Source organism: Homo sapiens, chromosome 12, assembly GCF_000001405.40.
Source record: "Homo sapiens chromosome 12, GRCh38.p14 Primary Assembly".
Classification (NCBI taxonomy): Eukaryota; Metazoa; Chordata; class Mammalia; order Primates; family Hominidae; genus Homo; species Homo sapiens.
This window is the reverse complement of record NC_000012.12, coordinates 119,094,405-119,109,663: the sequence shown is the minus strand read 5'-3', so window position 1 is coordinate 119,109,663 and position 15,259 is coordinate 119,094,405. Positions and strand designations below refer to the sequence as shown.

The 15,259-nt window shown below is 42.6% G+C and overlaps 1 protein-coding gene across 1 annotated transcript in view; it reads right to left on the bottom strand.

The window, feature by feature from the left end:
• SRRM4 (serine/arginine repetitive matrix 4) overlaps nt 1-15,259 on the bottom strand; it is a 181,511-nt gene that overhangs the window by 53,388 nt on the left and 112,864 nt on the right. Inside the window, exon 2 of the mRNA NM_194286.4 lies at nt 7,282-7,428. Within this exon, the coding sequence (NP_919262.2) occupies nt 7,282-7,428 (147 nt within the window). The remainder of the gene's footprint in view (nt 1-7,281; nt 7,429-15,259) is intronic.

The following is a 15,259-nucleotide window of genomic DNA, read 5'->3' as shown; positions in this document are numbered from 1 at the left end:
GCTGAAAATCATGGCACGAGAACTACATGATACATGCACAAGCTTCAGTAGCCAATTCAATCAAGTGGAAGAAAGGGTATCAGTGATTGAAGATCAAATGAATGAAATGAAGTGAGAAGAGAAGTTTAGAGAAAAAAGAGTAAAAAGAAATGAACAAAGCCTCCAAGAAATATGGGACTATGTGAAAAGACCAAATCTATGTCTGATTGGTATACCTGAAAGTGACGGGGAGAATGGAACCAAGTTGGAAAACACTCTTCAGGATATTATCCAGAACTTCCCCAACCTAGCGGGGCAGGCCAACATTCAAATTCAGGAAATACAGAGAACGCCACAAGATACTCCTCAAGAAGAGCAACTCCAAGACACATAACTGTCAGATTCACCAAAGTTGAAATGAAGGAAAAAATGTTAAGGGCAGCCAGAGAGAAAGGTCGGGTTACCCACAAAGGGAAGCCCATCAGACTAACAGCTGATCTCTCGGCAGAAACTCTACAAGCCAGAAGAGGGTGGGGGCCAATATTCAACATTCTTAAAGAAAAGAATTTTCAACCCAGAATTTCATATCCAGCCAAACTAGGCTTCATAAGTGAAGGAGAAATAAAATCCTTTACAGACAAGCAAATGCTGAGAGACTTTGTCACCACCAGGCCTGCCTTACAAGAGCTCCTGAAGGAAGCACTAAACATGGAAAGGAACAACTGATACTAGCCACTGCAAAAACATGCCAAATTGTAAAGACCGTCAATGCTAGGAAGAAATTGCATCAACTAAAGAGCAAAATAACCAGCTAACATCATAATGACAGGATCAAATTCACACATAACAATATTAACCTTAAAATGTAAATGGGCTAAATGCTCCAATTAAAAGACACAGACTGGCAAATTGGATAAAGAGTCAAGACCCATCAATGTGCTGTATTCAAGAGACCCATCTCACCTGCAGAGACACACATAGGCTCAAAATAAAGGGATGGAGGAAGATCTACCAAGCAAATGGAAAACAAAAAAAAAACAAACAGGGGTTGCAATCCTAGTCTCTGATAAAACAGACTCTAAACCAACAAAGATCAAAAGAGACAAAGAAGGCCATTACATTATGGTAAAGGGATCAATTCAAGAAGAAGAGCTAACTATCCTAAGTATATATGCACCCAATACAGGAGCACCCAGATTCAAAAAGCAAGTCCTTAGAGACATACAATGAGACTTAGACTCCCACACAATAATAATGGGAGACTTTAACACCCCACTGTCAACATTAGACAGATCAATGAGACAGAAAGTTAACAAGGATATCCAGGAATTGAACTCAGCTCTGCACCAAGCAGACCTAATAGACATCTACAGAACTCTCCACCCCAAATCAGGAGAATATACATTCTTCTCAGCACCACATCGCACTTATTCCAAAATTGACCACATAGTTGGAAGTAAAGCACTCCTCAGAAAATGTAAAAGAACAGAAATCACAACAAACTGTCTCTCAGACCACAGTGCAATCAAATTAGAACTCAGGATTAAGAGACACACTCAAAACTGCACAACTACATGGAAACTGAACAACCTGCTCCTGAATGACTACTGGGTACATAACGAAATGAAGGCAGAAATAAAGATGTTCTTTGAAACCAATGAGAACAAAGACACAACATACTGGAATCTCTGGGACACATTTAAAGCAGTGTGTAGAGGGAAATTTATAGCACTAAATGCCCACAATAGAAAGCAGGAAAGATCTAAAATTGACACCCTAACATCACAATTAAAAGAACTAGAGAAGCAAGAGCAAACACATTCAAAAGCTAGCAGAAGGCAAGAAATAACTAAGATCAGAGCAGAACTGAAGGAGATACACAAAAAACCCTTCAAAAAATCAATGAATCCAGGAGCTGGTTTTTTGAAAAGATCAACAAAATTGATAGATCACTAGCAAGACTAATATAGAAGAAAAGAGAGAAGAATCAAATACACACAATAAAAAATGATAAAGGGGATATCACCACCGATCCCACAGAAATACAAACTACCATCAGAGAATACTATAAACACTCTACACAAATAAACTAGAAAATCTAGAAGAAATGGATAAATTCCTGGACACATAGACCCTCCCAAGACTAAACCAGGAAGAAGTTGAATCCCTAAATAGACCAATAACAGGCTCTGAAATTGAGGCAATAATTAATAACCTAGCAACCAAAAAAAGTCCAGGACCAGATGGATTCACAGCCGAATTCTACTAGAGGTACAAAAAGGAGTTGGTACCACTTCTTCTGTAACTATTCCAATCAATAGAAAAAGAGGGAATCCTCCCTAACTCATTTTATGAAGCCAGCATCATCCTGATACCAAAGCCTGGCAGAGACACAACAAAAAAAGAGAAATTTAGACCCAATATCCCTGATGAACATTGATGCGAAAATCCTCAATAAAATTCTGGCAAACCATTATTTTAAATCCAGCAGCACATCATAAAGCTTATCCACCATGATCAAGTTGGCTTCATCCCTGGGATGCAAGGCTGGTTCAACATATGCAAATCAATAAATGTAATCCATCATATAAATAGAACCAAAGACAAAAACCACAGGATTATCTCAATAGATGCAGAAAAGGCCTTTGACAAAATTCAACCACCCTTCATGCTAAAAACTCTCAATAAACTAGGTATGGATGGGACATATCTCAAAATAATGAGAGCTATTTATGACAAACCCACAGCCAATATCATACTGAATGGGCAAAAACTGGAAGCATTCCCTTTGAAAACTGGCACAAGACAGGGATGCCCTCTCTCACCACTCCTGTTCAACATACTGTTGCAAGTTCCGGCCAGGGCAATCAGGCAGGAGAAAGAAATAAAGGGTATTCAATTAGGAAAAGAGGAAGTCAAAATGTCCCTGTTTGCAGATGACATGATTGTCTATTTATAAAACCCCATTGTCTCAGCTCAAAATCTCCTTAAGCTGATAAGCAACTTTAGCAAAGTCTCGGGATACAAAATCAATGTGCAAAAATCACAAGCATTCCTATACACCAATAACAGACAAACAGAGAGCCAAATCATGAGTGAACTCCCATTCACAATTGCTTCAAAGAGAATAAAATATCTAGGAATCCAACTTACAAGGGATGTGAAGGACCTCTTCAAGGAGAACTACAAACCACTGCTCAATGAAATAAAAGAGGACACAAACAAATGGAAGAACATTCCATGCTCATGGATAGGAAGAATCAATATCATGAAAATGGCCATACTGCCCAAGGTAATTTATAGATTCAATGCCATCCCCATCAAGCTACCAATGACTTTTTCCACAGAACTGGAAAAAACTACTTTAAAGTTCATATGGAACCAAAAAAGAGCCCGCATTGCCAAGACAATCCTAAGCCAAAAGAACAAAACTGGAGGCATCACGCTACCTGACTTCAAACTATACTACAAGGCTACAGTAACCAAAACAGCATGGTACTGGTACCAAAACAGAGATATAGACCAATGGAATAGAACAGAGCCCTCAGAAATAACACACACGTCTACAACCATTTGATCTTTGACAAACCTGACAAAAACAAGACATGGGGAATGGATTCCCTATTTAATAAGTGGTGCTGGGAAAACTGGCTAGCCATATGTAGAAAGCTGAAACTGGATCCCTTCCTTACACCTTATACAAAAATTAATTCAAGATGGTTTAAAGACTTAAATGTTAGACTTAAAACCATAAAAAACCTAGGCAATACCATTCAGGACATAGGCATGGGCAAGGACTTCATGACTAAAACACCAAAAGCAATGGCAACAAAAGCCAAAATTGACAAATGGGATCTAATTAAACTAAAGAGCTTCTGCACAGCAAAAGAAACTACCATCAGAGTGAACAGGCAACCTGCAGAATGGGAGAAAATTTTTACAATCTACCTATCTGACAAAGGGCTAATATCCAGAATCTACAAAGAACTTAAACAAATTTACAAGAAAAAAATCAAACAACCCCATCAAAAAGTGGGCAAAGGATATGAACAGACACTTCTCAAAAGAAGACATTTATGCAGCCAACAGACACATGAAAAAATGCTCATCATCACGGGCCATCAGAGAAATGCAAATCAAAACTACAATGAGATACCATCTCACACCAGTTAGAATGGCGATCATTAAGAAGTCAGGAAACAACAGATGCTGGAGAGGATATGGAGAAATAGGAACACTTTTACACTGTTGGTGGGAGTGTAAACTAGTTCATCCATTGTGGAAGACAGTGTGGTGATTCCTCAAGGATCTAAAACTAGAAATATCATTTGACGCAGCCATCCAATTACTGGGTATATAACCAAAGGATTATAAATCATGCTGCTATAAAGACACATGCACGTGTATGTTTATTGCGGCACTATTCACAATAGCAAAGACTTGGAACCAACCCAAATGTCCATCAATGATAGACTGGATTAGGAAAGTGTGGCACATATACACCATGGAATACTATGCAGCCATGAAAAAGGATGAGTTCATGTCCTTTGTAAGGACATGGATGAAGCTGGAAACCATCATTCTGAACAAACTATCACAAGGACAGAAAACCAAACACCGCATGTTCTCACTCATAGGTGGGAATTGAACAATGAGAACACTTGGACACAGGATGGGGAACATCACACAGTGGGGCCTGTTGTGGGGTGGGGGGAGGGGGGAGGGATTGCATTAGGAGATATACCTAATGTAAATGACGAGTTAATGGGTGCAGCACACCAACATGGCACATGTATACATATGTAACAAACCTGCATGATGTGCACATGTACCCTAGAACTTGAAGTATAACAAAAAAAATTAAAAAAAAAAGCAGTGGTTAAGTATGCAGTGGTTCCAACACAGTGGTTACATATGCAGAAGTTACATATGCAGTAAAGTATGCAGCAGTAAGGAATGCTGGTCCAGAAGCTGACAAACCTAGATTTAAAGTCTAACTCTCTTACTTCCAACAGGGCTCAGAGACCTCTCTGAGTCTCATCTTGATCATCGTCAACAAGATGGGAAGAAACATGGTACCTGTGTCCTAAGTTTGCTTCCAGGAATAAAGGAGCTGACTTAGGTAATGTGCCCTGGTCTGGCATAGAGTAAGAGGACAGTATAAGGGGTTTCTGTTATTATAATTATAATTAATTATTAAATAATAAATTTATTATATAATATAATTATGATTACTTTTATTATCACTGTTATTATTATTATCATCATTATTGTGGTTTTGTCACATCAGAGGGTCAGTCACAGATAGAAGGGAGTGAGAGGCCCAGATGCTGTACACTAGAGTACAACAGCTCTACAATAGAGATGCTGTATGACATGGCATCATTTTTTCAGATTTTCATAACCAGAATCTTCTCTTCTGGCTTCATGAAACTCTCACTAACATATCTTAGGATTTCCTCTGCTCTAGTCTCACTGCCACAATCTGTACATGCCTAGTCTAACTTAATCCTCATCCTGACCTTGAGAATTACATCTCAACATTCCCATTTTATAGCTGTGAACACTGAGGCCCATGGAGGAAAAGAAACTTGCCCAAGGTTGCTCAGTTCGTAAGTGACAGGGTCAAGATTTGTACACTCAGATTCCATCTAGGAGACAATATTTTTTATTTTTTATTTTGAGACGGAGTCTCACTCTGTCGCCCAGGCTGAAGCGCTGTGGTGCGATCTCGGCTCACTGCAACCTCCTCCTCCTGGGTACAAGCAATTCTTCTGCCTCAGCCTCCAGAGTGCTGGGATTACAGGTGTGCACCATCACACCTGGCTAATTTTTGTATTTTTAGCAGAGACAAGGGTTTCACCATGTTGGCCAGGCTGGTCTCCAACTCCTGACCTCAAGTGATCCTCCCACCTCGGCCTTCCAAAGTGTTGGGATTACAGGCGTGAGCCAGCATGCCTGGCCCAATGTTTTAAAAGTAGGGAAATTCCCTTCCTTCTCACTTCTCTCTTTATCTCCCTCTGCCTATCATGGAAACAACTTTCTTCCTGTTTCCTTGGGAGAACTCTCCAGACATGAGGTTGAACTTCAGTTCTCCAAGTTGATAGGGCTTAACTGTTTCTCTCTCTTTGAAATTGCAGCATAACTAAAGCCTGTAGCTGAGAGGGCAGCCTAGGTGGTGGGGTAGACTTCATTTTTGAAAATTACTCCACTTAACTCCCACTTATAAGAATTTATGAACACAAAGAAGGAAACAACTTGACGAGAAAGGGTGGATGGAGGGAGAGGAGCAGAAAAGATAACTATTGGGTAATGGGTTTGATACTTGGGTAATAAAATAATGTATACAACAAATCCCTATGACACATGTTTACCTACGCAACAAACATTCACATGTAGCCCCAAACCTAAAATAAAAGTTAAAAAATAATAATGAAATAAAAATTAAAAAGAAAAAAAATGACTCCAGTTTCCCAAGCCACTTCTCTAAAATTCAGTGATCACATCTTCTAGAAATAGATTTCCCAGAGGCCAAAGATGGGCCAGACTTTATAAGCATATGCTGAAAACAGGAGGCAGGGGATAATTTTTTTTTTGTTTTTCAGTAGCATCCATAGGATAATGGAGTGGGTTTTAGTCAAGGATTTAAGATCAGAGAGACTGGAGTTCAAAACTTCACTCTGCCACTTAGTGGCTGTCATATTCTGGGGAACTCACTTTACTTCTCCCAGCCTCAGTAAAATGCTGAGTATACAGTATTTTTATGGAGTATGTGTATACAGTGCTCTCTGCATTTGTGTGCTAGTACAGTGCCATCACACAGTGGGTGCTCAAAAAGTACTGGTTAAACAACTGAGTAAAAGAAAACATGCAGAGACCTGAAACTCCTGAGACAGGTCTGGGCTGAAACTATGATTTGGGAGTCAGTGGCTCATAGAGCCACTAAAATGCAAAGGAACGCTATCATTTAAGGTAGGGCTTGCTGAACTACAGCCAGTGGGCCAATTTAGCCTGCCTCCTGCTTTTATAAATACAATTTTATTGGAACACAGATATGCTTTTTGTTTGCATAATGCCTATGGCTGTTTTTTGCACTGCAATGGCTGAGTTGAGTAGTTGTGACAGAAACCACTGGGTCTACAAACTTAAAATATTTCTGATTTGTTCCTCTACGGTAAATATTTACTAACCCTTGATTTAAGGGTTTGAAAGAGGAACTTGCATAAGAGAGGGGTGAGCCATGGCCAGAGAGGCAGACTTTATTTCTGTATCTTCAACTTGAACGTCCTCATTGGATCTCACCTGTGTCCTCTGGTGGCACCCAGTTCCCGACAGGTCTTGTCTCTCTCCCAACTGTTGGTGCCCAAGGGCTCGGTGGCCAGATGCTGACCCAGCTTTTCTGAGGGTCCATCCTGAGCTGGGACAACGGGGTTATTCTGGGGCTCTGTCCTACAGAAGAAGAAATAAGGACACAAAAGTGTTAGAATATACAGAGACACTTAATGTTCATTAAATATTCATAGAATTACTAGTATTTCCCAGCTTCCCTTACAGTTAGGTTGAGCCCATGAGATTATCTTTGGCCAATGGTCTCTAAGCAGGAGGGAACACATGTAATTTCCAGTTCAAGGCAATCAAGATCTGTGTACCTTTCCAGCTCCCCCTTCCTCTGTCATAGCGACTTTAGAGTCCACGCATTCTGAAAGGTGAAACTATTTGATGAAGGAAAGATGCCTTCACCACATCAGACTTTGCAAGAGAGAAATAACTGAAATTAGGTTAAACCACTTTGATGTAGGTTTATTTGTCACAGCAGCATAGCTTATTCTATTTGGACTAGATCACAGAGAGATGCTGGAAACCAGCATTTCATTTCTTTTCTCAAGACATAATGGGAGGCCAAAGCATGATAGGATTAGTGTAAATCCCCCTTTGCCATTTCTATTCCATTTCTCTGCCTTATTTCTGTATGGACTACCTATATGTAGATTCAAATGGTCTTAACTATTTAGTAGCTATAGTATCTGGGTCCAGTCACAACATCTCTGAGTTGCAGTTTCTTCAGTTATAAAATAGTGAATAGTATCAATTCATGTATTTCCGAGCTATTGTGAAGATAAAATGAGATAAAATATACAAGCAGAAAGGCCTCAAAAGTCAGTTTTCTTTGGTTTTACTTCCTTGTAAACCAAATCTCCAATCTGATGTCCTTAATTGGTATGAGCCACCCACTTGGAACAGCAGTTCCCATGAAGGCCTGCAGTCCTGCAGCCCCCAACTCTGCCAATGACACAGGCTGCAGAGAATACTGAGGCGTCGTCTATGAGTCCCACGTCTTTATGGGAGTTCCTGAGAGGGCAAAGAAGTTGCCTGGTTACTCAGCTTTTGAAGAGACTGTCACCCAAGTTCCTGGCTCTTAACTAGGAAGAGTCAGGAGTTTGAGAGTCACAGGCGTATTTGGTGACACGCAGAGAACATCCCTCCCTGCTCACCCTGCCTTCAGACCCCATGTCAAGTATTGATCAAAGGCATTAGCATGTCTCATGCACCAGGCTTCTGCATCAGTGCATCCAGATTGGTTTTATGACTCAGGATGAATGCATCTGATAAGCCCCCTGCTCCTTAGGGCTTCTAAGAGAGCAAGTCAAGCCCAGTCAATATTGAAGGAAGGGCAGCAAAACACATCCATCTCTGTCAGCCACTTATGAGTGCATCTTTAGAAGCCGAGCTGGTAGATACTGCAAGCCCTGGAGGGCTGGAGATTCTAATTAGGGCTTCTCAGCCCTTCTCACTGCCAACTCTGTGCTTCCAGAACTCCCTTCCATCCTGCTCAGCCTCAGTTTTCCCTAAACCTCCCTCCTATGGGGGTTACCTTTCCATGTCTTTACTTCTGCCCATTTATCTCTGAGGAATGCTGCCCTGTCTGCTGTCTGACAACAAAGCTTCTATTTTCTGCCTAACACCCAGCAAGGCTTGCCTCTTCCCATACTTGTCCTGGCCTAGGGTAACCTGCATTTGTTAACTTCAATTTCCTGAGTGCCTAAATTGTATCCAGGTCAGTTTCAGGTGTGGAGACACAGTGAACAAGACGGAGATGTCTCCTGTGATTACGGAATGTTTACATTCTAGATGGAGGAATAGATACATAAGCAAGTAAAAATAGGGCTTGTTGAATGGTAACACATTTTTTTTTTTGAGGCAGAGTCTCACTGTGTTGTCCAGGATGGAGTGCAGTGACACAATCACAGCTCACTGCAGCCTTGAACTCCCTGGCTCAAGTGATCCTCTGACCTCAACCTCCCAAGTAGCTGGGACCACAGTTACACACCACCACACCCAGATTTTTTTTTTTTTTTTGTAGAGACAGGGTCCCACTGTATTGTTCAAACTGGTCTTGAACTCCTGGGCTCAAGCAATCCTCCTGACTTGGCCTCCCAAAGTGCTGGGATTACAGGTATGAGCCACCATTTTCAGCTGAATGGTAATAAATTTTGGTGTGACTAAAGCAGCATACAGAGCTAAGAAATGGGAGGAGTGGCTGCTACTTTGTATATAATAATCAGAGAAGTCCTTCCTGAGAAGTAACAAGGGAGTGGAGACTTGAAGGATTCAGGACTAATCTTAAAATTTGGGTGGTTTAGAATGTGTTCTTAGATTCTTTGACACTCTTGTCATCAAAAGATCAAAAGACGGAACTTAATTTATCTCCCTTTGAATATCGGATGGGCTTAGTGACTCACATTCAATGAAAAGAATGTAGTAGAAGTAATAATGTATGACCTTCAAGACTTGGTCACAAAAGGTAGCTTCTGCCTTCCTCTCTTGGGTTGATGATTCTGGTGGTAGCCATGTTGTGAGGACACTCAAGCAGCCATATGGAGAGGCCTATGTGAAGAAGAACTGAGGCCTCCTGCCAACAGTCAGCACCAACTTGTTAGCCCTATGAGTGAGCCACCTTGGAAGAGGATTCTTCAGCTCCAGTCAAGCCTTATGATGAGACTGCAAACCTGGTTGACATCTGACCACAGCTTCATGAGAGATGATGAGTTAGAACCACTCAGCCAAATTCCTGAGTCACAGAAACTATGAACCATAATAACTGTTTGTTGTTGTTTTCAGCCAAAAGATTTGGAATAATTTGTTACACAGTTATATATAGCTTCTACACAGGTATCTGCTCGAAGTGAGAAGTGTGCCCTAGGCAGAAGGAATAGCAAGTTCAAAAATTGTTAACATATTATAAGGAAGAGCGGCCGGGCATAGTCACTCATGCCTGTAATCCCAGCACTTCGGGAGGCCGAGGCAAGTGGATAACTTGAGGTCAGGAGTTTGAGACCAGCCTGGCCAATATGGCAGAACCCTTTCTCTACTAAAAATAAAAGAATTAGCTGGTATGGTGTTGCACGTCTGTAATCCCAGCTACTCAGGAGGCTGAGGCAGGAGAATCGCTTGAACCCAGGAAGCAGAGGTTGCAGTGAGCTGAGATCATGCCACTGCACTCCAGCCTGTGTGACAGAATGAGCCTCTGCCTATAACAATAGTAATAATAATAATAATAATAAGGAACAGCAAGCAAGGGCTAGAGTGGCAAGAGGTGAGATCAGAGATCAGGTCATGGGAAGACCTTTGGGGCTCTCTGTAGCTGAGATGGGAGAAGAGTCTTTGGAACAGGAGTGATAGGGACTGGATTACCTTTGAGAACGATCACTCTAGTGATTGAGGGACACAAGGCTGAAGGGAGAAAAGGGCAGAGATGGGGAAATGGTTGCAATAGTCCAAGCTCCGATCAGTGTAGTAGCAATGGAGTGGGGGATAAGATGTGGTCTGATTCTAAGAAATTTTGAAAGTAGTACTGACATGATTTACTGCTGGCTAAATGTGAGAAGTAAGAGAGTAAGACAGGAGAAGGAGTCAAGGATGACTCCAAGGTTTTGAGCCTGAGCAACTGGAAGGATGGCGTCAACATTGAGGAGATGGAGAAGGTAGAGTAGGGAGCAAGCTTTTGGGAAGATCTATCCCCTTTTCTAGGATGTGGTATGCCTTTGCTCCCTTGCCAGCAACTCTTAATAATATGTTGTCATTTAATTGTCTTCTATCAAATTGGACTATGAGCTCCCTGCGAGCAAGACTGCGTCTTTCTGCCTCAGAGCCTGCTGCTTAGTGAACATCAGGCAATATTTTTTCAATGAATCAATAAAAGTGGTAAAAAATTGGCCAAAGAGAACATTGTTTCAAAAAGTTAGAAAGTGCTTTTGAGATGCTTTGGGCTAATTTCCTGATGTTATAGTTGGTGGGAATGGAATCTTAGAAAGGGTCAGTAACTCAGCCAATGCCTCAGTCTACTCAGACTGCTCAATCCATGTCTTCTCTGTTCAACCTCATATTTCTTTTAGAAAAGATCAGTGAGCTTATTGATTTGTGTGTATTGTCCAGCAAAGCCTTGACACATAAGATAGTTCACTTCCAAGGTGGCTCACTCATATGGCTGGCAAGCTGGTGCTGGCTGTTGGCAGAAGGCCTTAGTTCTTCACATGGGCCTCTCCATATGGCTGCTTGAGTATCCTCACAACATGGCGGCTGGCTTCCCCGACAATGATCAATCCAAGAGAGCAAGGCAGAAGCTGCCCTTTGTAACCAATTCTTGCAAGTCACACATTATTACTATGTCAAGGTGGAGACACATAAGAATATAATTCTGAACTCTTTGGGACATTGTAGAAAATAAATCGATACCACAAGCAATCCCATGATAGGCAAAAGCTGAGAACTGTGAGGAATTTAGCATTGAATAAACACATGGTGAGTGTGCTGGCATTGGGTGGGAAGTCTCAGTGACTTGTCTAATGGAGAGAGTAGAGGCGTGAGTTATCTGAAGTACAGGGGAAGCTGGTGGATGCTACTGCCAGAGCCCTGGGGTGTAAGGCTTAGGTTGAGGACAGTGCCTCATCCATCATTGTCAGCAACAGGGGTCAGGAATCAGATATGGGGAAATCTTGAAGATGATTTGGTGAGGAAAGACACAATGGAGTTGCAGGAATTTATGTAACTTTATACCCTCTGATGTGGTAGATTTTTCTTTTTCTCCAATAGCACTTATTTCACCTTCCTGGTGTTGGGTATCCCACCTGGAATTTTGCAATAAAACCAACAGAAATAAAATGAATTCTGCCAGGCAGAGAGGAAATGCTGAGGGGAGGAAGAAGGAAACCGTCGTGTAGCTTCCTGCTCAATGAACATTCATTGAATGAACAAATGAATAAATGGATGGATGAACAAATGAATTGTGATTACCGATCTCATGTGGGAACCACAGATCGGATCCTAACTCTCCTTACAAATAAAGAAGCAGAGGTACAAGTAAAGAGTCTGAGGTCACTCAACGCTGCAGTGGAATCAGGCTTCAGCCACAGCCCTCAGCCCTCCACAGCCCCACCTATCTCCCTTCCCTACCTCCAGCCTTGCATCTTTGCAGGTCCTTAAGAAAAATTCTGTGTTCCATCTTTGCTGAGAAGTACTGGCAGTTGCCTCATTTTCCTTCTATATCGCATTTAAAAAATACTTAAAAGAAGCCGAAATCTTTGGGGACAGCTAAAACAGTGGAGTCAAGGGCCGGCACACTCCACTTCACAGATGGAGGGAGGGAGCCACGAGTGCCGAATTCCTCAAGGCCTCCCGGCGGCTCTGTTCCTGCTAATCAGAGACCTGGAGCTTAGATGCTGTCTCTGTAGTCATGGCAACCGGCAGATTCCAAGGCTCCGATAAGAGTCAGGGCTGAACTTTTCTGCAAAACTCCTCAAGAGGCCTGGCTCCCTAGCTGCTTCCCTGCTTCCCATCAAAGCTCTTGCTCACTGAGCCAATCAGCCAGCTGCTCCCAACAAAGTTCTCATTTGGCCCAGCATTGGGTGCAGATCCTCATGCCCCAAGCACTAGATTGAGTTAAACACTGTTTGGGGAATCAGAGACCAACAATGGTGGAGCGGGAAGAACCCCAGATCCAGCTCAGCCCTGTACAGAGTGGAGAAAGGGAGGCCCAAGAGGCAAGGGGACTTGCCCAAGGCAAATAGTGACTCATATCATAGCTCTGGCTAGTAGAGTTGCCACCTTTTGACTCCCAGCCCAGCGTTCTCTCCACATCACTTGATCATCACAGCAGCTAGTATTTATCAAGCACCTCCTGCACACCAGACACTGAGCTAACTAAGCACTTCTCACTCATCTTCTCATTGAAGTTTTCAAAGAAACCCATGAGCCAGCATTACCATCCCTACTGTGAAGAACAAACTGAGACCCTGAGATATTAACTGGCAAGAACATCAGCAGCTGTCCTGCTTGTTTATAAGAATCAACTGAGAGGCCGGGCGTGGTGGCTCACACCTGTAATCCCAGCATTTTGGGAGGCTGAGGTGGGCGGATTACGAGGTCAGGAAGATTGAGACCATCCTGGCTAACACAGTGAAACCCCGTCACTGCTAAAAATACAAAAAAAAAAAAAAAAAATTAGCTGGGCGTGGTGGCGGGCACCTGTACTCCCAGCTACTCAGGAGGCTGAGGCAGGAGAATGGCATGAACCTGGAAGGCAGAGCTTGCAGTGAGCTGAGATCGCGCCACTGCACTCCAGCCTGCGCCACAGAGCAAGACTCCATAAAAAAATAAATAAATAAAAATCAACTGAGAACAAAAGGGAGAAGACTCTGGAAAACATTTTCTTTTTTTTTTTTTTTTTTTGAGACTGAGGCTCAATCTATCGCCCAGGCTGGAGTGCAGTGGCATGATCTCGGCTCACTGCAACATCCGCCTCCCGGGTTCAAGTGATTCTCCTGCTTCAGCTTCCTGAGTAGCTGGGATTACAGGCACCTGCCACCACGCTTGGCTAATTTCTGTATTTTTAGTAGAAAACATTTTGAAAATATAGGAAAGGATAAGTGGAGGTACAGGGGGAATCTTGGTAATTACGTTGTAAGATAGGACTGGTCTTATGTGTTTGGAGAGGCTCTGTATCTCAAGGTTTGGCCTGAATCTTATATTCCACAAACAGAAATGGCAGTTGGCCAGGAGATTGGAGACATCGCTGACATTTATTGCCTCCATTCCACAAATAGCTCCTTCTGTGTATAGAGGACTTACTAATCCAGTGTCTCAATTGATTCCTATAACTCTCTGTGGGGTGTGCAGCAGCAGCATGGTGAACCTCCTTCCCTTGCATAGCTGAAGGCACTGAAACCTGGAGAGGCAAAAGTACTTGCTTCCTTCCAGAGATCATGGCCCAGGTACTTGTTCTACCCGTGCATCCAGGGCTGTGAAAGGTCCATCCTTTTTCCCACACTTGCCAGACACCCACACTCTGCCTGTTTCAATAGAGAATGTAGGCCTAGACTCTCATGCTTAAATGCTCTTCAGAAAGCCCAAGAGTTATCATGGGGCTGACCTAGCCCAGAGACAAGATGAAGTTGGCCAATTTGTGCCTTGGCTCCTGGGACCTCAGTCTGGGCTGTGTTAATAATGTCCTGGCCTGAGGTCTTGGCATTCCGACTCGTTTTCAAGGTGAATCCAGTTCATTAAGCCTGGATGGGGGTAATCTTCAGGAGCTGTGACCCTTTGAGCTTTGCCATTGTGGCTTGAAAAAGCAATAGAGCTTAGAGGAAAACTGGGGATTGCACAGCACTGCTGTGGGAGACATCGTTTGGATATAGGGGCAGTAATGTTCATTTTAGTAGAAATTGAATAAAAAATGAAAGGAAGTTTTATGAGGCTGTCATTTCTCTCATTATTTCATTCATTACTCAACAGTTGTTTACTGAACACCTACTTAGTATCAGATTTCAAAGACCCAAAAGTAACCAAGACATTGTTTCTGCCCTGCAGGACTTCTCACCCTGGAAGGGGAGACAGATCCCTAAACCGGGAATTGCAATATGGTATATAAGAAGTTCTCTGATAGAGAGAGGCTTACGGGGGCAGTGGACCCACAGAGAGGGCACCTAACCCCTCCTGGGGAATGTGGGCAGGTGGTCACGGAATGTGTTTCTAGCAGATGAATAGAAATTGGTCAGGAAAGTGGAACAAAAAGGAGGAAGAGCAAGTGCAAAGGTCCAGCACCAAGACAAAGCAGTGGACCTTCGTGTGACTGCAGGGGATGCAGTAAGTTAGAACAGACAGTGAAGGTGGAGGGTGGCAGGCAAGACTTGAGTCTAGGAAGGAAGAAAGGGGCTGGATTCTTCAGGGCCATGTAGACAGGTGCTTTTCAAGCCTTCATGTGCATGGGTCACCTGGGGATCTTGTC